Source organism: Homo sapiens, chromosome 5, assembly GCF_000001405.40.
Source record: "Homo sapiens chromosome 5, GRCh38.p14 Primary Assembly".
NCBI lineage: Eukaryota > Metazoa > Chordata > Mammalia > Primates > Hominidae > Homo > Homo sapiens.
The window spans coordinates 74,444,548-74,468,930 of NC_000005.10; the positions used below are offsets into that span (position 1 = coordinate 74,444,548).

At 40.9% G+C, this 24,383-nt stretch overlaps 1 long non-coding RNA gene across 5 annotated transcripts in view, besides 1 other annotated feature; it reads right to left on the reverse strand.

The window, feature by feature from the left end:
• LINC01331 (long intergenic non-protein coding RNA 1331) overlaps positions 1–24,383 on the reverse strand; it is a 209,330-nt gene that overhangs the window by 117,104 nt on the left and 67,843 nt on the right. The gene's annotated exons all lie outside the window — the stretch shown is intronic.
• Positions 20,837–21,026: a silencer, noted in NCBI's record as "silent region_16092". NCBI's record gives its function as "represses an Ori minimal core promoter by ATAC-STARR-seq in GM12878 lymphoblastoid cells {active_cell/tissue: GM12878}" and the evidence as "EXISTENCE:reporter gene assay evidence [ECO:0000049][PMID:35858748]".

The following is a 24,383-nucleotide window of genomic DNA, read 5'->3' on the forward strand; positions in this document are numbered from 1 at the left end:
GGGAACACTCCCTTAATAAATTCATAACACATAGAAGGAAAACCAAGTTAAAAGGATGGATTCTGCTTTAGGAGATTATATGCAGCCTATACATTCCCTAGAAGCACCCTGCTCTAGGTCAGGGACCCTTCCCTGGTGAGGGAACACCTGTTCTTTCCAATTGCTGTCTTCTAAACCTCCTCCTTGAGTCCACTCAGTCTCTGTTTCCACTTATTCTCCCCAAAACTGCACCACTGGCTGCTTCCTACACACATGTTGTCACCCTTGAACTATAATTTCTCCTCCTGCCCAGTGACATTCTTTCCTCCCACTGTCAAACTTCTGTCACTCAGCTGGATGGATGTGGCCTCTCTGGATGGGCTGATTCTTAACCCCATTCTGTCTCTAGAGAAAGGTGGGAGAATCAAATTTACCTCTTAGGTGATACAGCAACCTGTGTGAGCAGATAGACAGACAAATATGGACGCCTGCTAAGGAAAGGCGGCCCCTGTTCTGTCAAATGCATGATATGGATTCAAAACAGGGAAAAGGTGCAAATGGAAAGGAAAACATATGAATGAAGAGGCTAATGTTTTGAAATGAGAAGGAGCGATGAGGCTATTTCAACTCATTTATTGAAAGAGGCGAGTCCACTTGGACAGATTCTAAGTTGTAAAACAGCTTTCTTAAGTCTGTCTCCATTTCCTTTCTGTGCAAGGAGCCTCTCCTTGTTAGTTTGCAGAAGGTCCATGGTAGCTTAAAAGCAGCACGGTGGATGCCATTTAGTCACCTGACCTTAGGTGATAATAATTTCCCAAGCACTACAGACCCCGATCGTCAGGAATACCATGGCCATACTAAACTGGTTTAGCTTATTTGATGAATTCAGCTTGGTGAGTGACTGCAGAGTCAATGTGGATAGAAACAGACTCTGGGGTCCCTTCTTTCTGGGGTCACCTGATACAGTCTGCAGATCCCTCTTGATTCACTCAATCTGTTTCGGCTGCTGGGGTAGAAAGCAAAGCTGTATTAGAATCTATTTTTCTTTCTGAACAGTGTTTAATATTCTCATCATTTAGTATTTTATATTTGTAACTGTGATATTTACAGGGAAGTGTAGCGAGTTTGCTTGTGGTTAATTTGCCTGCCTGCCATGTCTCTTTTAGAGAGTGTGATCCCCCCACCCCTCTGACTGAACAGCAGGTCCTGGGACTCTGGCCTCAAGTCGTGTCATTTAAATCGGAAGTGAGCATCCAAGTCAAGCCTAGGCCCAAAAAAAAACTGCACTTGGAAATAGAGGGTGTCGCAGGGGGGCTTCAGGGGTCTTGCCAGTCTCTCTTGGGTGCTAAAACTGGGAAGTGATGTAAAGTTGCAGTTGGGGCAACCATGCAAGTTCAAAAGAAAATAAAGGGGAGTGTTCTGGTAAGAGGCAGAAGGAATAGGCCAGCAGAGAGAGTCAGAGATGAGAGAAAACGTGGCCCCAGTGAGACAGAGTAATTATCCAACTGTATATGTCCCTCCAGATGCTTGCCCTCAGCTTCCATTGACATACGCCATATCTTTCTAATAAATTCCCATCTTTTTAAAAGTCACTTGAATTCCAGAAAAGAAAAAAAAGAAAGAATTTCATATCTATGATAGTGGCCAGGCACGGTGGCTCACGCCTGTAATCTCAGCACTTTAGGGGGCCAAGGCAAGAGGATCACTTGAGGTCAGGAGTTCAACACCAGCCCAGGGAACATGGTGAAACCCCATCTCAACTAAAAATACAAAAATTAGCCGGATGTGATGGTGCACGCCTATAATGCCAGCTACTCAGGAGCTGAGGCAGAAGAATCACTTGAACCTGGGAGGCAGAGGTTGCAGTAAGCCCAGATCGTGCCACTGCACTCTAGTCTGGGCAACAGAGTGAGTGAGACTGCATCTCAGAAAAAAAAAAAAAAAAAAGATAGGGACAGAAAGGTATGGGGCCTTGGTTAGAGTTTGTTTGAATACCACCTCAAAGACAGGGAAACATTCAATTAACCATTTCTGTCTGATTTCTCAACTTTACACCACTATTATCCTTTCTTGATAGATCAGGAAAATGGTCACTTACATTTAAAATAGATTATGTAGCCTCTTGCCATTTTTGGAAACATTCTTAGATAATAGAATTACTGAATTTCCAGACAACTCAACAGGATCACACAGACTCTCAAATCAACATACCTAGCAATCATGACTACACCGTGTTATGAGCTGATAAATTCATAGAGCCTAAAGCATTACAGAAGGAGGGAGTGGAGAAGCGTGCTTATCTTCCTTGTGAGTTAGCCTCAATTTCAGAACAAACTCAGCAGTGCCAAGAATAACCGATTATTCTCCCTGTGATGAAATGTACTTTCCAACAATATTGAGTCCTTCCCACCAGTACTAGGTTACGATGTCAACATGGGTTAGTTATTCTCACGCCAACATGAGGATTGGCCTAATTATTCAGGTGCCAGCATGGGAGCTGAGACCTCACTTTCTCTCCCAGAAATGAGAGCATGACCACCCCGATAAGCACGATACCCCCTCCTGCCAAACATCCCTCTGCAGGAGGCCGTGAACCAATACCGTGTGAGCTGCAATGCTGTCTCTTCCGGAACTCAATGTCGCATTTCACACATCTAAGTTGGTCGCCAGCCTTTGGCAATTTCCAAGTTTCCCACAGATTAATGAAAAATCCAGCTGTTTCCAACTATTTGGAACAAAACAATATGTGATAAAATGAGGAGAGAAGGGAATCGTTATCCAATTTCTCCAGCAGTCAGAGAGATTTGGAACATACTGGGAAGAAAAATTACAAGCTCGATTGTTCAAAGATTTAAAAAAAGAAAGAAAGCTTTGTATTAAATTTCTGAGAATGCTTTTTATTTACCATACAGAGAGAGCTAAAAAAGCTATTCTTTGATTAATCAGGTATGAGCTAATTCTGCCTTCCTAATGCAGCCTGGGAGTCCTTTTAGTGAAAGGTGAGTAGTGATGGCTCCCACGAAGGACACTGGGACATCTTGGCTATAAATCTAAGTGGGAATGGAAGTTGGGGCAGCAGTTAAAGGAAACCGTTGTGTAGGCCAGTGCTCCTCAAGCTTTCTGAGGGTCTGCCCGTGCAAGAATGACAGATACATAGAATCATCCATTATGTAGCCTTGGCTTCTTTGACTTGGCATAATACATCTGAGATTCATCAATGGCTACAGGGTGGCTGTGGCAACAAGGCCTCCCTTTTCAGTATCCAAATAAGGATAGAAAAAAAAAAAAAGAAGTTTCTGCTCATGAGACCCTTTTTTCATCAGGAAGGACCTATTTCACAAAAGCTCTCAGCAATGTGTCCTCGGGTCACTTTGATCTGAATTGACTGTCCTGCCCATGCCAAGCTACAAAGGAGGCTGGGAAAGTGAGTAGTGGACATTATTTACCATGGAATGTGCCACTGCCAGGAAGGAACCCAGGAGATGCACTAAATCCCGTATTCCAGGCTGTCCCTTTCATCTCCCTCACAGGCCAACGAAACTCACACTCAACTTTAAAAGAAGAAAGGCTATGGGTGAAGGAGGAGAAACAGAATACTAAGGAGAGATGTATCATGAGGTATTCCAAATATACGTCTTCGTTAAAAGATCATCACACACACTTAACCTCTCTGGACCTTAATTCCCTCATCTGTGAAATATAAATGGGTATGCCAGTGCCTGCAGTATAAGGTTATCTTGAGAATTAAACAAGAGAATATGTGGCAAGCACTTGTTACATACCTGATGCACAGTAAGTAGTCACTAAATAGTGGCTGTTATTAGAAATTTAAGCAAAGAAGCATATTCAAAAGTATTAAATACTGAAGGCGTATCATTTCAATATACTAGAATTTGGAAAAAGGAGAAATTGTCCCTCGGAGTCATCTAGAAAAGCTGCATTGTGGAAGCAAAATATGAGCTGGCCTTGAAGGATGGCTAGAATTTAAATAGTGAAGAAGAGAAGGAAAGGCATCCAAGTGAAAGAAACAGCACGAGTGGGAAGGCTTAGACAGGAATAGGGGCCATATTTGTGCTATGGGAAGGAGAAAGGCACTGATACCCAGCAAGTGCCTACTACATGCGAGGCACTTGACAGGCACATTGCATGTGTCTCATTTAGGTTCTTCAATAACCTCGGGAGGTGGTGTATTGGTCAGGGCTCTCCAGGGTAACGGAACCTATAAGATGTTGTGTTAGTCGGCTAGGGCTGTCATAACAAAACACCATAGACTGAGTGGCTTCATCGATAGAAATTTATTTTCTCACAGTTCTAGAGGCAGGAAGTCAGAGACCAGAGTGCATGGTCAGGTTCTGGGGAGGGGCCTCTTTCTGGCCTGTAGACAGCCACCTTCTCATTGGTGGACACAGAGTGAGCTTTTTCTCTTCCTCTTCTTATAAAGTCACTAATCTTATCATGAGGACCATGGCCTCCTGATCTAATCTAACCCTAATTGCCTCCCAAAGGCCACATCTCCAAACACCATCACATTGGGGGTTAGGGCTTCAACATATAAATTGTAGGGGGACATAAACATTCAGTCCAGAACAGATGTGTATTATGCAGAGAAAGAGATTTATTTGAAGGAATTGGTTTACAAGACTGTGGAGGCTGATTGGGGAAGACACAACCTGGAGGCTCGGAAAAGAGTTTGGTTTGAATTCAAAGACCATCTGCTGGAAAAAAATTCAAAGACCATCTCCTGTACCTTTAGTACAGGAAGAGCCTGTGCTAAATATGCGGGCTGAAGGCTGTGCTAGAGGACTCCGTCTTGCTCAGGTGGGGGTCACCCTTTTGTTCAACTCAAGCCTCTAACTGGTTTCATGAGGCCTATTCAACATTATGGAGGGCAATCTGCTTTACTCAAAGTCCATCGATTTAAATGTAAATCTCATCCAAAAACACCCTCACAGAAACATCCAGAATAATGTTTGACCAAATATCTGGACACTGTGGTCCAGTCAGGTTGACACATAAAATTAGCCATCTTAGGTGGGTTTCAGTCCTAGTTTATGGATGAAGAAACTGAGGCTCAGAGGGGTTAGGTAACCTGCTGAAGGAGGCGAAACAGCTGAAGTGGAAACGAGACCAAGTTCTGTCTGAACCCACAGTCGTGTGTTTCCATGATGAGTTGTTCTGAGTCTAGAGAAATTTATTTGAATAGGACATTTTGAAACAGGAAGAGGGCTTAGAATAGTGAGTGCCTGTGTGTCTTCCACAGTTATCATGGTGCCTTTCCATAGAAATGCTTAATGTACACTTCAGAGGTGGATGGATGGATGGATGAAATAAAATATCATCACTCTGAGTAATTATGGGTACAAAAAAACAAAAATTCTAGTATTTCTTCACATCTGACTTGGCTTTATGGCTAGGCTGTTCAAAACGCAACCAACAGTCACATATGCCTATTAAAATTAAATTTTTAACTAGTTAAAATTAAATAAATAAAAATTCCATTGCACGAAGTACAAATTGCACTAGGTACATTTCAGATACTCAGTAGCCATACGTGGTTAGTGGCTGCATATTGAACAGCACAGATACAGAACACTCCATCTTATTAAATTCTATTAGTATTATCCAGGGAGACTATGCTTGTCTTCCCATCGTAGAACCTCTCATGCATGTCTCTGTGAGCATATTTCTTGTGCCTTGGGGATGAATTATGAGGAACCATGTAACTATAAACCCAACCAATCTCCCATTGGCCAAGGCCTTTCTTGCACACTGTGAATCAGTGAGGAGCTGGCCCTCTGGTGCCTGTTCCTGCCTCACAGAGGCAGAGTAACTGCCTGCTCCTCTGGGTCTCTCCATAGACCAAAGGTGCCATTGACATTTGGCTCCATTCAAACTATAAACATCTAACAAGCTCCAGATGCACACGTAGTGGATTTAAAGTCCTGTCAATATGGACACTAGAGTCTGAAATGAAACACTTGGCATTCAATTTGACTAAAATGTTAAACTCACAATTTATTGGTTCAATAAAATGTGAATGCTAACAGCCAGTTTTTACGCTGGAGCCTCCACATCTGTGTATGTGTGTGTGAATGTGTAAATGCAATTTTTCAAGGCAAAGCTAATAGCAAAGTTAAAAAACGGTCTTCAAAATAGAGCTTTGGCGATAATAATCATTTTTAATGGACCTGAAATGTTATTCATGATAAACGTGTTGCCAAGCAAAATCCTTTCCTGTGTTGGGTGATAAAACAAAATTGCTGATAAACTACAATGTCTGTGAAGGGTGAAGACACAGACGGCCGAAGAAATGAGAGCTATCAGAAAATATGAGCCTTCCCAAAGGCTGTGACACTATCTTCCAGTGTTTTCCTCTGCTAGGGCTGGCTGACATGTGCAAAGCTACAAATGACCAACCTTGGTGAAAAATAAAACATGTAAGCTTTTGTAGCTGTAGAGGGAGTGTGGAAGGCAATAACAGTTTTATTAAATGTTTGACTCAAGAATGACAGTTAAAAATAAACAAAACTTGTGTTTCCCAATCAATAGGAAGAAAAACATACTTTTTTCCCTGACATCAATTTCATCTCTCCCTTTCTGTTTAAAATGGGAACATGGGAAGGTGGAGTAGATATACTTTTCCCTATTCCTCCCACTAAGTACAACAAAAAAGCCTGGCTGTTATGTATAAAACAAACATAGAAGACTCTTAAAGGTGAAAAAAAGACAGAACTGTTAGGAACTGTTGGGAGACTGAAAAAACAAAATGGTGGGAAGTTTTCTGGGATGTCTTTTTGCTTCATATATCCAAGCATTGGAGATAAAGAAGCTGGCAACCATAAATGCCATCGATCACAGGCAAAAAGGCAAAAGCAAAAACAAAACCCCAACAAAAGCTTGCTCACTTTAGCCAAAAGACTAGGAATTAGACAGCCTTGTAAGACAGAAGACTTTTAGACAATAACTGCCCTGATACAACCACAGAAAAAGTATGTCCCCAGCTTCAGTCATGCCAACAAAGGCTCAGGGAAAGCCTAGATTTTTACCCTCTGGAGCCTGTTATGGGAGGCTGCTATAGCTTGAATCCGCTCATCCCAAAAAGTAGGTGTGGAAAACTTAATCCCCAATCTAACAGTTTTGGGGGTTGGGGCCCAATGGGAGGTGTTTAGATCATGAGAGCTCCAACCTCACAAACAGATTAATGCTGATTATCAATGGGCTTGAAGCTGCAAGTTCCTCATCTTGCTTTTCTTTGCTGTCTCTTTGCCCTCCCACCATGAGGTGGCTTAATAAGGAAACCCTCACCAGACACTGGCCACTCAAGGTCCCCTATAAGGATTTCCCAGCCCCTAGAATTGTGAAAAATAAATTTATTTTCTTTATAAATTACCCAGTCTGTAGTTTTCTGTTATAGCAACACAAAGCAGACTAAGACAAGCATGCACTAAGAAGGGAGCCAGGACTTTCATCCCTGCTGATTTTTAACATGTCCCACCCTTACTCCAAAATATAGAGACCACATGGGGAACTTGAACTACTACCCTCACTCAGCAACAGTAAGTCATTCCTCTTTCCCTGATAGACTACTGCCATAAACCTGGTGGAGAGTCAGGATGCTCATCATTACCATTGTCACGAGTGGTAACAAGGCGACCTCCCCTCCTGTGCTGTCAGTGGAAGCCACACAGGGAGCAATAACAAAGCATGCCTACTACCCCTCCCAGCCAGGCAGTGTCAGAGAAGCCAGGTAAAGTGCTGGAGCTCCCAGGCCTGCCCAGCAGTTATGAGAAGGGATATGGTTTAGATGTTTGCCCCCTCTAACTCTCATGTTGAAATGTGATCCCCAGTGTTGGAGGTGGAGCCTAGTTGGAGGTATTGGATCATGGAGGTGGATCCTTCATGAATGGCTTGGTGCCACCCCCGTGGATATGAGTGAGTTGTCACCTCTATTAGTTCATTCGAGAGCTGGTTGTTAAAAGGAGCCTGGCATCTACTCCCCTCTCTCTCTGACTCCCTCTCTCTCCATGTGACATGCCTGCTCCCCTTTCACCTTCCATCATGAGTAAAAGCTTCCTGAAGCCTCAGTAAAAGCTGGGCAGATACCAGCACCATGCTTGTACAGCCTGCAGCACCATGAGCCAAATGAACTCCTTTTCTTAATAAATTACCCAGCCTCAGGTATTCCTTTATAGCAATGCAAAATGGACTAACACAAGGAGACCCCCCACAAGTGTTTAATAGATGCCTGTGAGGAACCCAGACTTCTATCTTAGTGTGTTTGTGTTGCTCTATAAAAGAATACCTGAAGCTGGGTAATTTATACAGAAAAGAGGTTTATTTGGCTCATGATTCTGCAGGCTGTACAAGAAGCATGATGCCAGCATCTGTTTCGGATGAGAGCCTCAGGCTGCTTCCACTCATGGTGGGAGGCAAAGCAGAGTCAGCATGTGCAGAGATCCCATGGTGAGAGAGGAAGTGAAAGAGAGGAGAGAGGTGTCAGGCTGTTTTTAACAACCAGCTCTCTCTCTCAGGAACTAACAGAAGGAGAACTCACTCACCTCCCGACCCGGGGGAGAGAATCAGTCTCTTCATGAGGGATCCACCCCCATGACCCAAACCCGTCCCAGTAGGGAAACCACCTCCAGCATTCAGGTCAAATTTCAACATGAGGTTTGGGGAAACAAACATCCAAACTATAGCAACTTCTCTCCCCATCAGCCGGTACTGAGGTGCTTCTTCCCCTCTCCTTGTTTGAGTGGTGGCCGAGGAAGCAAGCCAAAACACAAGGTTTAAAATTCACAGTCTCATAGCATGAGACCCAGAATGTCCGGGTTTCCATCAAAAATCACTCATGACACCAAGAATCAGGAAGTTCTTAAACTGAATTTAAAAAGACAATAAAAAGATGCCAACATTGAGTGAACGGAGATATCTAACATCTCTGTCAAAGAGCTTTATCTGACAAAGATTTTTAAGGCAGCCATCGTAAAATGCCTCAATGAGCAGTTACAAACACACTTGAAACAAATGAAACATAAGAGTTTTGTCAAGAAAATAGAAAGACATAGTAAATAAATAGATGATATTAAGAGCCACGTGGAGGGTGTTTGTCACTTGGTTGCTGAATTCCACTGTTCTCCCCTAGACACTCTATTTGATATGCAGTTATCTATTTGTTGTTTTGCCTGTGGAGGAGATGAGTGCTGGGTGCCTCTGGTCAGCCATCTTGATAATGCCCTTTCTTTCTGTTATTATTTATTACAACTGCATGTAAACCTATAATTATCTCAAAATAGAAGGTTTAATTAAAAAATAAAAACAGGTTGGATGCAGTGGCTCACACCTGTAATCCCAGCACTCTGTGAGGCCAAGGGGGAGGATCTGCTAAGGCTAGGAGTTCAAGACCAGCCTGAACAATATAGTGAGACCCTGTCTCTATCAAAAGAAAAAAAAAAAGTAAACAGTGCACCTTCTAAGGCAAACAACTTCATAAATTATGACCAACTATCTAACGATTTTGGATCCCTTTTCCACCCTCCAATCTTATGCTCATTAAAGTACAGTATTTACATTTAAAATTGTATTAACTGAGATAAAGTACAAAATTAATTCTCAATTCAAGGAGACACAGCTCTGTTCTGTGGACAAAGGACAGGAGAGAACAACCTAAGAATAAACAACTGTACTATTTTTCTGGCTATGTAATTCAATTTAATGCTTATAATTCTTTAGGCATAAAAATGCTTAATCTTTAAGATTAAATTTATTAATTCAAATGCATTTATATATCTACCATATGGCCAGGTTTATATTTGTTTCATTTATTATTTCAGACCTTCTGGTAATAAAGATCTCTCCGCCCAGAACTGGACAATCACTAAACCTCCTTCCTCTCCCACCCCCACCTCTAATATTAGTAACTCCAGGTCCAACTCCAGCTGTCATCTGAGAACAAACTGTTATGAATAGAATAGTACCTTGTGACCATAACAAAATAACACCATGATTCTATCATTAACAAAATAATGTGTTTTCCTTTACATCAACATTGCTGGTGTAGTTAGTACCATACAAAACCTAAGAGAGACACGGATGGATTACTGGGCAATGAGACGATAAGAATTATTTGGAAATTACCATTACTCTTTACTCATCTCCTACTCCCCAGAGCCAATTTGTGTGCTATACTTGGGGGAAAAAATGCTGGGTCACAGAAATTGCTTTTCCATAGGTCTGGCAACTGTGTGAAAGGCCTAGGGATGGGCAATAATGTATTCTAAAATAGCATGTGCTTTGTCAAAAGTTCATTTGGAGGCCAGGTGCCGTGGCTCACGCCTGTAATCCTAGCACTTTGGGAGTCTGAGGCAGGCAGATCGTTTGAGCCCAGGAGTTTGAGAGCAGCCTGAACAACATGGTGAAACACCTGCTCTACAAAAAATACAAAAATTAGCCAGGCATGGTGGCTCACGCCTGTAATCCTAGCACTTTGGGAGACTGAGGTGGGCAGATCATGAGGTCAGGAGTTCGAGACCAGCCTGACCAACATGGTGAAACCCCGTCTCTACTAAAAACACAAGAATTAGCTGGTGCGTGGTGGCGCACACCTGTAATCCCAGCTACTCAGGAGGCTGAGGCAGAAGAATCGCTTGAACCCAGGAGGCAGAGGTTGCAGTGAGCTGAGATCACGCCATTGCACCCCAAGCCTGGGCAACAGAGCAAGACTCTGTCTCAAAAAAAAAAAAAAAAAAAATACAAAAATTAGCAGGACATCATGGTATGCACCTGTTGTCCCAGCTATTTGGGTGGCTGAGGTGGGAGGATTGCTTGAGCCCGAAAGGTCAAGGCTGTAGTGAGGTGTGATCACACCACTGCACCTCAGCCTGGGTGACAAAGTGAGACTTTGTCTTACAAAGAAAATAAAAGAAAGAAAATTCATTTGGGGGTTTACCAAAACAACTGCCTCAAAGTCAACTGTGAAAAAGATGGTGAAAACTCACTTGTATTATTCGGACCCTGTCACAAGAATCATGCATTTGGAACTGGAATTCCATCATAACCATCCCCAAATCCAATTTTTTGTGTGTAGGGAGTGAGGACATAAGTGTGACATATTATGAAGAGAAATTTTTATAAATTTCAAGGAATTCTTATAAGATATAACAGCTTTTAGTCAACACAGTTTTGGATGAACTGAGTGTAAACAAATATAAAAATGGCTATTAAATTTCCATTCAGATTTATGCACATGGGTTTAATATTAATAATTAAGAAAAGAAAGCTGGCAAAACAAATGTAAAATTTAGCCAAACCCAAAATGCTTGAAAAATAAGTCAAGGCTTTCTGAAAACATAGAGCACTACTGGCTTACCCATCCCTAGTGACAAGAAATTGAGAAATTGAAACTAACTCCATTTAAATATTCTCTCTGCCCCAACAAATGCTACAGTTCATTCCTGCCAAGGAGCCCAAGAGACTGGCTCTTTAGTGCCAAGAACAAAGCATAGGTCTTCACATGCCCCCCATTCTGTCAGGGCTCCATGCTCAGATGCCACAAGGGTGGAATTTTCTCTCTTCTACCTCCAACCAGGTGACATGTTCTTACTTTTGAATCTAACTTTCTTACCTCTGGTTCTTGAAAAATATATCAGTTCACAATTTGGAGTAAAAATAATTATCAACCCTCTGGAACCCTAGGCCTGTACCTATCCTGACTTGGAGTCCCTTTGGTGACGTTACAAGACCTAATATGATTTCATAAGACTGATGCCCCATAATTGCTATCAAATCAACATAGCAGGGCAGAGAAGGAGGGGTGGGGCAGACTTGCCATACATTGATAGGTGAGAATGTCCAGGGTAGGAATGTGTGTAGTTAAACTCTATCAATTCTTAGCCACACCTGCTTCTAACAGGGTTAACACAACTGTAATACGTGATATTGTATAGAACTCCACAGTTTATCAAATATTTTCATCCACATTATGTCATTTAATCTTCATGATAACCCTTTGAATAGAGTATTGCCATTCTCCTGATGAGGGGACCACAGCTCAGAGAGGAATCTTCTCAAGTCAGTAGTTAGTAAGGAGCTGCCAGGACTTGAACCCAGGGATTCCAAGTTCAGTGCTGTTATCAGTCCATTCTCACACTTCTATAGAGAACTAACTAAGACTGAGTAAGCATGTCTTACATGGGGGAGAAAGAGAGAGAAAGGGAAATGCCACACACTTTTAAACAACCAGATCTCATGAGAACCCACTCACTATCACAGAAAACAGCAATGGGGAAATCCACCCCCATGACCCAATCACCTCCCACCAGGTCCCCCCCGACATGTGGGGATTACAACTCGACATGAGATTTGGGTGGGGACACAAATGCAAACCATAACAAGGGCTTTGTCCACTACACTACTGCTGAGGTAGGGCAGAGCCCTACACAGTAGCTGATACTCACTCAATGCTTTAAACGCTTAACCCATATGTACTTAAAAAGCCACATGCTCTCCTGGAACTCTGCTGCTCAGATCCAAACTGCTAAGCCAGGAGCTCAACATTACCATGAACGTGTTGGTATTTTACTCTTAGACGGCATGGATCAGAATGTTTCTATGTGAAAATCTTAGAATCTCCTCCATGTTTAACTCCATTTTCTACCATACAAGATCCTAAATACTCCATAGATATCAAAGCCATCTCTGAAAAAATGTCTGTCAAAATGTTTTTAAGAAATTATGGTGCCTGATGAACTGAGGCTTTTATTGCATTTTTTAGAGACAGAATAAAAGAAATATCTATCTGAAGTTTAAAGAATTTGTATAGTGGTTTGTTTGTTTGTTTGTTTGTTTTCTTTCCTTGAGACATGATCTGCACCCAGGCTGGAGTGTAGTGGCATGATCTTGGCTTACTGCCAGGCTCAAATTATCCTCCCACCTCAGCCTCCCAACTAGCTGGAACTACAGGTGCGTGCCACCACACCTGGCTGATTTTTTGTGTGTGTATATTTATTTTTTTGTAGAGACAGGGTTTCCCCATGTTACCTAGGATGGTTTCTAACTCCTGGACTCAAGTGATCTGCCCACCTCGGCCTCCCAAACTGCTTGGATTACAGGCATGAGCCGCCGTGCCTGGCCTAGTGTTGTTTTTTATTAGCCAAAAGATATCTAGTCCTCTCATTCAAACCTGGGCAAATAAATTAAGTTGCGATGCCACTATATACCTGCTATACTTTATATTTCATTATGATTGGAATATAAGACTATAACTCATTAAAGAAGTGTGTTTTGTTTCATATTAACTGTATAAAATAGTTCCCTAGAAGTCATTTGAATGAGGCATGCACTAACTTAAACTTTATCCAAAAGCCAAACCAGCTGATTTTATGAGTATCAGAAACAGGTTTATTTGTATAATTTATGAAAATAGTTTTTATTTCCTTTCACTCTTGCATACTTTGGAAATATTTTCTTGAAACTGGAAAGCCAAATGTTGAAAAACAACCAGAGTTACAGTTACTGTAAATTCTGGCCCAAACAAAAGCAGACAGATCAGCAAATTTCATGAGAAAACAAGCTCTGGTGAAATTTTCAGCTCATTAATCTATTTCTATGACAGAGTAATAGGCCCAGCAGATTGAAGAGAAGCAAATGACATAATAGATCTTGATTCAAAAAAGATTTTTTTGATTAAGTCTCATACAACACAAGAGTAACTAATAAGAAAAATATTCAGAACACAAAACTATTGGTAGGTACATAGCTAGTTGGAGAATTATATCCAAGAAGTAGCTACGAACAGGTCAATGTCAGCAAAACAAAGATATTTTCCATTTTAATGGATGGCATAAATATTTTACATAAATGCATGCTCACTAGGTTTGAGAACACTGCCCAGTAAACAGGGAAACCAGCCCCTTAAACAGGAATACCCCAGTGTGGTGAGACACAACCCTTGAGAAATTCCCTGGGAAACACTGGAGAACAAGAGAGGAGGAAGAGCCAGTGGGAGCAGGTGGGATAGGTGACAGGGGGAAAGAAAGATGATTCAAGCAAAAAAGGAGTTACTTAGAAGGGAAAAAAATGAATAAGGAAGAAAAGGATCTTTGGGTCACAGTGGATTATAGGTTAAATGCAAACCAATGCTATATCTAGAGGGGACTTTACAAAGTCACTTGGCTCAGTAGTTGTCAAATGCCAGTTTTTATCAGTCTTTGGTGGAATGAAAATAGGACACCATATTAAGTTTTTCATAGTAGGTGGTGCTTTGGTACTTTTTAAATGCTCTTACTTGGCAAAGAACAAATGTCGATAATCCTATATCGGTCTCCAAAATCACTTTAGAAATTTTATTGGTCAGTGAAATTCAAAAATCTAGAAATTGCTAGCCAAGTCTATCCTTTGGACCTTTTCATCTGAGTAAATTAGTCTGTTAAGTATCCAAGTCCACTTAATTTGAAAGTTCTCTGGCAACTCAAACAAAAATTCAGTCTCCAAATGTCCAGCTGGTCCAAGTTTTACTCAGTGCCAACTGAGCCACTTGCCTTGAGTTTTTAACTAATCGTAAAGGAAGGTGGTGTGATGTGGGTGTATTTTAGGTGTACCGGCAGACCTGGTTCTCACACACAATTGTGAAGGGAAGATTTTAGCCCACATCCCTATACCAGAAACCAACAAATTAAAACAAGGAGAGTGCTGACCCAAAAAAGGAAACATCAGGAAATGATTGTTTAGGATTAAGATTTTTGTTTCTAGACATGTGCAGTAAAATACTGTCTCGTTCAATTTTATTTGCCTCCTTTGATGAGGCCAAATTAACTTAAAGCAACTGTTAGAAGAACTGCTGGTTATGGACACTAACTAATGTCACATATTCTAAAATATTCACCCTGGAGGCTTCTTGGTTAAAACATTTTAAAACCTCTTTGATAATTAAGAATCTCTGCAATAATGAAATTCATCAGGAATTACACCTTGGTAGTTTCTAAACTAATTATTACAGAAACTTCAAACAGAAAAGTCCTACCCAATTCTCCCCCTCCGGTCTCCCCAAGAAAGCTGCCTCCACTTCCAAATCCTTCGTTCAAGTTAGACAGTGAAGAAAAGTGCTAACCAGGGGTTGGGGTCTCACTCATGCCGTCCCTTCTAGGAGCACCAATCTACTGTATTTCTCCAGCACTACAGGAGCAAAGAGCTTGTCCTAACAGGAGAAAGAGAAGAGAGACTCTTGTGATGGTGAATTGTATGTGTGAACTTGACAAGGCTAAGAGATGCCCAGATAGCTGGTAAAACATTATGTCTGGGTGTGTCTGTGAGGGTGTTTTTGGAAGAGATTGGCATTTGAACCAGTAGACTGGGTAAATAAGATTGCCCTCACCAAGGTGGGTGGACATCACCCAGTCTGTTGAGGGTCTGAATAGAACAAAAAGGCAGAGGATGGGCAAATTTGCTCTCTTTGCCTGGGCTGGGACATCCATCCACTCCTGTCTGTAGACCTTGGCACTCTGGGTTCTGGGCCTTTAGACTTGGTCTGGAAGTTATAGCATTGTCATCCCTCATTCTGAGGCCTTTGGATTGGTACTGAAACTATACCACTTGCTTTCCTGGCCCTCCAGCTTCCAGACAGCAGATCTTCTCAGCCTCCATAATTGCATGAGCTAATCCCTCGTAATAAATCTTTATATGACTATGGGTGTGTGTGTGTATGTGTGTGTATATATATATATATATATATATTCTCCTATTGGTTCTGCTTTTTTGGAAAACCATAACACAACATTTTAATTTTCTGACTCAGTTTACATTCAGGCAGAATTAGAATTTAGCAGGCTTAAAACCCTGCTGATCCCCTTAACATATACTTGTGTGTAGACACATATATACAAATGCTTTTAATTATATTATTTTTGTATTCTCATTTCCCTCATAAAAGCCTCTGGCCTGAAAAACACATTGGGCTACATATACACATATAAAGCTGTCAATCACCCACATTGACCATGGTGGTCAGCAGGTGTGTACAATATGCTGTTACACTATGTCATCCAGTAACAAGGTACCATTAAGAAGTAAAGAGCCCTGTCTGAACAGAGGGGACTCTTTACCACTCAGCTCTGCCACTCGGTAGCTGTGTGACCTCAGCCAATTATTTACCTCTCCAGGCCTCTGTTTTCTTGTCTATAAAAAGACAGAAGTAGAATACTGGTGCTGTTAAATTCTCTTATAGCCATAACATTCAAGGTTCTGTACAACTACAAATGACTTTAATCACCACCACCAGGAAAACTGAGTGTATGTATCCCAGCCGGAGGGTTAGCAGAATCTGTGGCTGACCATAGCCAAGCTTAGACTTTAATGTGGGGTTCTTTTTACAGTTAGTTTTGGAATACACTCAAAAACCAAAAGGAAGTTGGATCCCAATCCCTAAGTCAGTCCAGCCGTTATTTTCCATGGGCAAAAGGCAGACCTGCAAGCCTTAGGAAGAGAAGGAGAGGTGCGGTTGCTGTGTACCAGCAGTCAGACTACACAGGAGTCCTATGGATGAGGAGCCCAGGGGCAAGGCTCCCTGTGGAACCTGGTCAGTTATCCAGCTCAGTCTCTGAAAGCAGGCAGGATCAGGCACTGCTTCCTCATGGGCACCAGGGACTGCCATGTTACCTACCATTCAGAATAAAGGCACACAAGTCTTGAGCTACCTACCCATCCTCACCCATATATTATGAAAATCAAGTTGCCCCCTAGACCAAGTGAAAACATCAGTATTTATAAGAATGCCGATGGGTTTTCAGAAACAGACTTGCTCCCAGAATGGAAGAAAGCAGTTATTTGAATAATATGGCACAGCTTGAGGGACTGCCTGGGGTGAATGGGAATTAAAATAATCAAAATCAATGGTAATAATGTGCTCAAGAAGCAGTTCAGAAATGCAGATTACCCACTCAGTAGTCAACTCACTAATGACATTAGGTAATATGAAATACAAACAGGAGAAAAAAACAATCTAAGCCAATTATGCTGATTATGCTTCTGACATCAAAAGGTAGGACAGATGAAGCTAAATTTCCATACATTAATATTTAAGCAAGTATAGAATAGAAAATACTGCACATAATGAAGACCCACTAGATTTCAGTACACATAGCTAAGATCTTAATCAAGCAAAAACAATTTTCTAAATGATAATTAGCAGTAATCATGCTCTTTAAGTGCAGGATATTATGGAGTACAAACTGCAATATTTAAACAAGATGCAAAATGCAGAATTCCATGTATTAGCTATAGCTCAGCAAATGTAATAAACAGAGATACTTACCAAAGAAAGACAACATTAACTAAGTAGTATGTTCCACACCAGAGAAAGAAAGGAGGAAAGAGGGAAGAGAGGAAAGGGGAAAGTAACAAGAATGGGAGACAGGAAAATGAAATCTACACGTTCTGAAATATCTTGCTGAAACAACAAACAACTCTGTCCAGGGGCTTACCTGGCTCTTCTTTTTATTTCTCAATTGTAAGATTGTTTTGCAAATAATCATTCACATAGGGCAAGACAGAATTCCTGCCAAGCGAGCAGTGAAGAATATGAGCTTCATTTGTTTTAATACCTGTGTTCCTATTAGGAGTTAGGTAAGCAGGGGAAAATGGATAATTAAAGCAATGACATGCATTCACAGCAACATTACACACACACTCACACACACACATACACACCATCCAGAACGTATTGAAAACTCTTGGTGTACAAGATGCTTTATAAGAACAGAGCAGGTTTAGCACACATGAAATTTTAAAAATTCTATTGTGCCAGTCTCATAGATCTCATGATTCCTTTCAGCTCTTCAGTAATGTGAAAAATGCTACTATTATCTGCAGAAGGAACCATGGTACAGGACAGAATATCACTTTCCTAAAATCCTGTGACTGCTCCCTAGGACCAACATGGAAGGTGTAGGAGGACAATGTGTTTTCACTCACTGTCTTTAGGAGACATGGCAAATGAGCAGGCGTTCATTCCCAGCCCAGGAATGAACACCAGTTTGGAAAACCAGTTTTAGTGTCTCACAGACATTTGATTCCTGAGGTTCCAAAGATGTTTTAACTGAATTGTCACATGAATGAAGTTCCCTTCACATCATATTTGATAACAAAGCCAGGTTTTATTGTTGGCTGCACAACTATCACCACCACCAACAATACCCTTTAAAAATAAAATCCAAATTAAGTTAGTCCAAGTTTTTTAAACACAAATGAAAGTTTCAGGCCAATTTATACAATGCCAAGTGCCAATCTGTTCACTCTCCAGTTGCCTCATGAGCCTGAGGCAAAAAATCTTGAGGAGAGAACTCTAGTGTCAAAAAATCCACCTAAACCATGGATGTACTTATGATGGTAAATTTTAGGTGTCACCTTGACTGGATTGAGGGATGCCCAGGTGGGGGGCAAAGTGTTGCTTCTGGGCACCTGTGAGGGTGTTTCTAGAGGAGATTGAAGTAGGAGGCTTTGGACTGAGAGGAAGACCTGCCCACCATACATTTTGCTGGGGGCCTGGCTGGAACCCAGAGGCAGAGGACAGGGAAGTCATCCTGTCTGCTTTCTCACTCCCTTCAGGAGTAAGACACTTTTTCTCCTGCCCTTGGACATCAGACTCAGGTGCCTCCATCTTTGCACTCTGGGACTGACCAGCAGTCTCCCCAGGACCATCAGGACTGACTTGGAGCTGCACCGTCAGCTTCCCCAGTTCTGAGGCTTTGGACTTGATGGAGCCATGCTGCCGGCTTCTCTGGTTCTCCAGTTTGCAGTCGGTCTGTGGTGGAACTTCTCACCCTCTGTGATTGTGTGAGTCAGCTCCCCCTAATACGTCCCCTTCCAGATATTCTACTGGTTCTGTCTCTCTGGAGAAATCTGACTAACATAATTCAATAGGTTCTTGAATAACATCATTTTGATCAAAGTCATTTCATTATAACGTTGATGAGGAAAATATTGATTCCTGGCTAGGGCCACTGTCTGTGGAGTCTGCACATGTGCCTGTGTGGGTTTTCTCAGGTACTCCAGCCTCCTCCCATGTCCAGAAAATATGCATGTTAGGTTTATTGGTATGTCTAAATGATCCCAGCATGAGTGGGTGTAGGTGTGAGTGCACCCCACAATGGGAGGGCGTCCTGTCCAGAGTCAGTTCCTGCCCTGTGCCCTGAGCTGCCAGGATAGGCTTCAGCCACCCATGATCCTGAACTGAAATAAGCAGGTTGGAGAAAGAATGAATGAATGAATGATTACAAATTATTATAAAATAGAAAATTATAAATTTTATGATAATCATACAAATGAACTACAATAAACAATGCTGTACAAAAGCATTCAGCAAGCCTGCCCTATTTGTTCTTGTTTTTGAACTGTGTGGTGATAGGAGGTACTCCGGACAATTTTTGATTTGCAAACATTTATACCTTGATATAACCCACCATCACTACAACTGCTGTCACTCACCAATTCACCAAAAATTGGATATATAATTTTTGCTTGCTTTTAATCTTTATTTCTTAAATGTATGTATAGCCCACATTTGTTTCAATATTTAATATTAGAAGTGTTTGGAGTCTTTATTTGGAAGTTTGGTGATGTTTTTGTGACCAGAAATATGACTTAGAAACTTAACTCTTGTTTATATCAATTAGCTTATGTTAAACTGGCTACATTATAGGTCATTTCACTTAAAGTCATAGTTTCCAAGAACCTATCAACAACATTAAGTGAGGACTTACCGTACGCAATACCACTGAACAAGACACTTAAAACAAGGCAGGTGGATCATCTGAGGTCAGGAGTTCGAGACTAGCCTGGCCAATGTGGCAAAACCCCGTCTCTACTAAAAATAAAAAATTAGCCGGGTGTTGTGCCCGACACCTGTGATCCCAGCTACTTGGGAGGCTGAGGCAGGAGAGTCGCTTGAACCCGGGAGGCAGAGGTTGCAGTGAGCCAAGAATGTGCCACTGCGCTCCAGCCTGGGTGACGGAGCAAGACTCTATCTCAAAAAAAAAAAAAATCGTCAGAATGGTAAATTTTATGTCATGTGTATTTTACCACAATTAAAAAAAAATGGAAGAAAAGGTCGTAAAAAGTTACACCTGTGGCTGAATATACACAAGGCAAGAAAACAACAGCTGTTGGGAAAAGTAAATAACTGCACAGGATGTCAGCAAGGAATATCTCAATGGTCTCCACTGGGAGCTCATGCTAGTAAGTAAGCTAAGCATATATTACTTTCTTTTTTTTTTTTTTTTTTTTTTTTGTATAAGCAGCCAACAAAGCTAGTTGTTGATTTCACAGCAAAATCTCTTTTCAAACAGCTGCATAGTGCTGCCCGGGACTTTTTCTGACCCATGGAACTCAGACCTCTTTCGTACAACAGCCAGTCACTCAACACTGTCAGACTATAGAGCTTTCCTTCTCATTTTACTTAGCTTTGCCAAATTGCTTTACTCACACTGTATTGCCTAATTTTTCCAGTCTGTTTTAATGTTCTGTTATCTGTCTCCAGCCTGGAGCAGAAAAAGATAGCAAGATGCAGTGCTTACCCAAAAAAGCTGTTTTACAGATTTAAGGGAGACACAGCTGTCTTATCTGTGACACAAAATAGCAAGGTAAGCTGAAACATGAATTCCTGTCTGCCTCTTCTTCCTCCCATCTGTTGCATTAAAGGTCCAGAGACCCCCAGGGCCACCTTGTAAGCATGCTTGGTATCATTGTTTTTTAAAAAATAAAATTCCAAATGTTTATAGACAGTATTTAAAAAATAAGAATTCAAAATGAGGCCAAGTACAGTGGCTCACGCCTATAATCCCAGCACTTTGGGAGGCCAAGGCAGGTGGATCACCTGAGGTCAGGAGTTCAAGATCAGTCTGAGCAACATAGTGAAACCCCATCTCTACTAAAAATACAAAAATTAGCGGATGTGGTGGCACACACCTGTAATCCTAGCTACTCAGAAGGCTGAGGCACGAGAATCCCTTGAACCTGGGAAGTGGAGGTTGCAGTGAGCCAAGATCACACCACTGCACTCCAGCCTGGGTGACAGGGTGAGACTCTGTCTCAAAAAAAAAAGAATTCAAAATGAGGCTCGAAAAATAGTCTGTGTATTCCATTGAGATTTAACATTATATTTAGAAAATTTACTCTCGACTAAATATAAAAAAGCATTAGGTTAAAAACAAAAAAAGCCAGGCACAGAGGTAGGCAGGGCAGGCAGTTCAACGTGGGATATGGAATGAAGGTTTGTGAACAAACCAAGGGCTGGGTGCTTTTCATGGTGCTGTTATCATCTGCTCAGTATGACCTTTGAGAGGCCCAGTGGTTTCCCCATTTCACTTGGTGAGGTGGTACACGCTTGTAGTAACAGCTGCTCAGGAGGCTGAGGCAGGAAGATTGCTTGAGCCCAGGAGTTCAGGGCTGTAGTACACTATGATTGCAACTGTGAATAGCTGATGCACTCTAGCCTGGGCAACACAGCAAGACCCCAAGTCTAAAAATATATGTCCTTTTTTTAACTCAAAACATTTTTTTAAAGTCCTCCTGTTTTATGCAAAATCACTAAGAATAGCAATCTACAAAAGAAAGACAATTATAATCCCTTGGTATTTACGGAGCATCTATGATGCATTCAGCAATTTGCTGGCCACTATAGATAATAGGGTAAAATTAACATGGCTAGGTCCCTTAAGGAATTCACCCTCTTTTCAGAAGACAAGTCTAATCCCACAAGTCTTTATTGATGCAAGATATAGGATGTAACGTCAAACAATTAGCTTCCATTCTTAAGTAACGTGGGAGTTTGGCAATGGGAGTGTCCACGGTGATATTTGCCTTTCTTACTGTTGATATATTTGTGCAGCATCATCAACAAAAGTGCACATGCTATTTAACCCTGGGAAAGGGATGCATTTAAGGACGGGATTGGTATATATTCACCATGGGGTCTCAAGTATTCTGACTGATTCAGGAAGTCTCTACCATGAAATCTGTGTCAAGTCATTCCTGCTAAGTTCTATTTTTAAGTTGTATCATTCCCACAGCCTCAGTATGAGTATGTAGCCAACACTCAGGTTGCAACCTCACATATCCTTCTTATGATCCTTCCTCCTCAAGAGATTATTTTTTCATTTATACAATAAGCATTTAATGGGGTCTACTAGACATTACAGACTCAGAGATACAAAGTTCTAATTCATAGTCTAGTAGGAAAATAGACACGTTAATTACAGCACTATATGAAGCAAACTAAGAGAAAAGAAATGAATTTTTCACAAAATAATGGGAAAATGCAATAGCTTTCTAAGTATAAATGAAAGAAACCTTTAATGAGCAGGTGTGACTTAAAATTTGTTTTATTTATGAAGAATTATATCATAAACACTCACATATTTACCACCCATATTTAACAAATAGATATTTGCCTTTGAGCACATAAAGTGATTTAAACATCTGTCTACCAGAAAATATTCTAAGCAAAATTAAAATCAAATGATAGAGGAAAATCAGTTTTCAAACAATGTGATAAAGGTTTAATATTCTTAATATGTAAAGAGTTGCTATAAATTAATGGGAAAAACATTAGGAACTAATGAAAGACAGATATATGCAATTAGATAATTCTCAAGAAAATACATCTGGTTAATAAACATTAGAAAATAGCCTTACTAATTACCAGTTACTAATAATCATAAGTATGCAGATTAAAACTACAATGAGATACCACTATTAAGTACTAGTAAAAGTATAGAGAGATGTCTACTTTCATAAACTCCTGCTTAAGAAGGTAAATTGGGTTGTCTTTCTGGAAAACAATTTTGAAATATATGCTTAAAACATTTAAGTACATACACTTTAACCCAGCAATTTTAACATCAAGAAATCTCTAATGAAATAATCACAAATGTGAATAGATTTATATACAAAAAGTTCATTGTAGCATAATTTATAATTGCAAAAATTGGAAACAATTTAAACACTCAAAATAGAGAAATGGTTAAATAAAGTTTAGAATAGCAGTAAGATGTGGCCCTGTAAGTCTGTGTAGACGTGAGTGATTTCTCTCTCTCTTTTGGAAAGAGTGGGAGAAGTAGTGTACAATGTTACACAGCGGCCATTTCTGGGTAATGGGATTATGGGTGCCTTTTTTTCTTTTTACTTCTTTATATTTGTCTGTATTTTCCAAATTAATACAATGAACATGAGTCCTTTTATAAGCTGAAAATGCTTCTTTTTTAAAATAGAGACAAGGTTTCACCATGTTGCACAGGCTGGTCTTGAAAGCCTGGGCTCAAGCGATCTGCCCACCTAGGCCTCCCAAAGTGCTAGCATTATAAGCATGAGCCACTGCGCCAGGCCTGAAAAATATATTTTTAATTTTTAAAACATTATAAACCCTCTGGTGTGGGGAGGAGGTACTTATGACCCAGAAATAGTGTCAACTAATGGAGTGCTCAGGAAGGCCTTCCTGGGAAGGTCACTGCTGAACCGAATTTCAAGAATGAAATGTTTGCAAGATAAACAGCAAATGGGATGCCAGGCAGAACTCTAAGTGCTTCTTCCCCTATAATTACAACCTAATCATAGATTGTATATCTCAAGCATGAAAACACGTATCACTTTTGCTTCATTGTTTTCCCTCTAATTGTGAATTAAAATACGTCTGAAACTCAGCAAGGCATTTTCTCATGTTATTCCCTTCTAGTCTCAGAACAGCTCTGTAACACAGAATTTATTCAGGGGATCTCAGCCATTTCCTGCCTATCAACCACTCCCTTCCTAAGAGTTACTCTTTTGCTTCATTGTTTTCCCTATAGTTGTGAGTTAAAATATGTCTGAAACTCAGCAAGGCATTTTCTCATGTTATTCCCTTCTAGTCTCATAACAGCTCTGTAACACAGAATTTACTCAGGAGATCTCAGCCATTTCCTGCCTATCAGCCACTCTCTTCCTAAGAATTACTGCCCAGTCCACACCATACTTTTAGGCAGTCATATTTCTACCCTGTGACTTCAGTTGCGACAGCAGTCACAGCTCACTGGACAGGGAATGGGCTCCTCAGCAAAAGGCAGCAGATCCGACCAGTCAGCAATTTGTGTACTAAGGATAAAAGACAAGCCGGGCCCCACAGAATTCCTCTCTTAGAAATTTGAGCTAAAAGTTTAAAAAGAATGCTTCAGTTGCTTTGGGAAAAGAGATGACACATCAGCGTAACTGGATGCTAGCGGTGCAGGAGCCCAATTGTGAAAAACACCTTTGCTCCTGAAGTCCCTAAAGTAGATTTAACTCTAAACTAAACCTTCAACTCAAGTCCCATGGAGCCCCTCTCAATATTGTGTTGTTCTTGGTTTCCATTAGTTCCAATGTCTTCTTCCCTGATCTCCAGACCC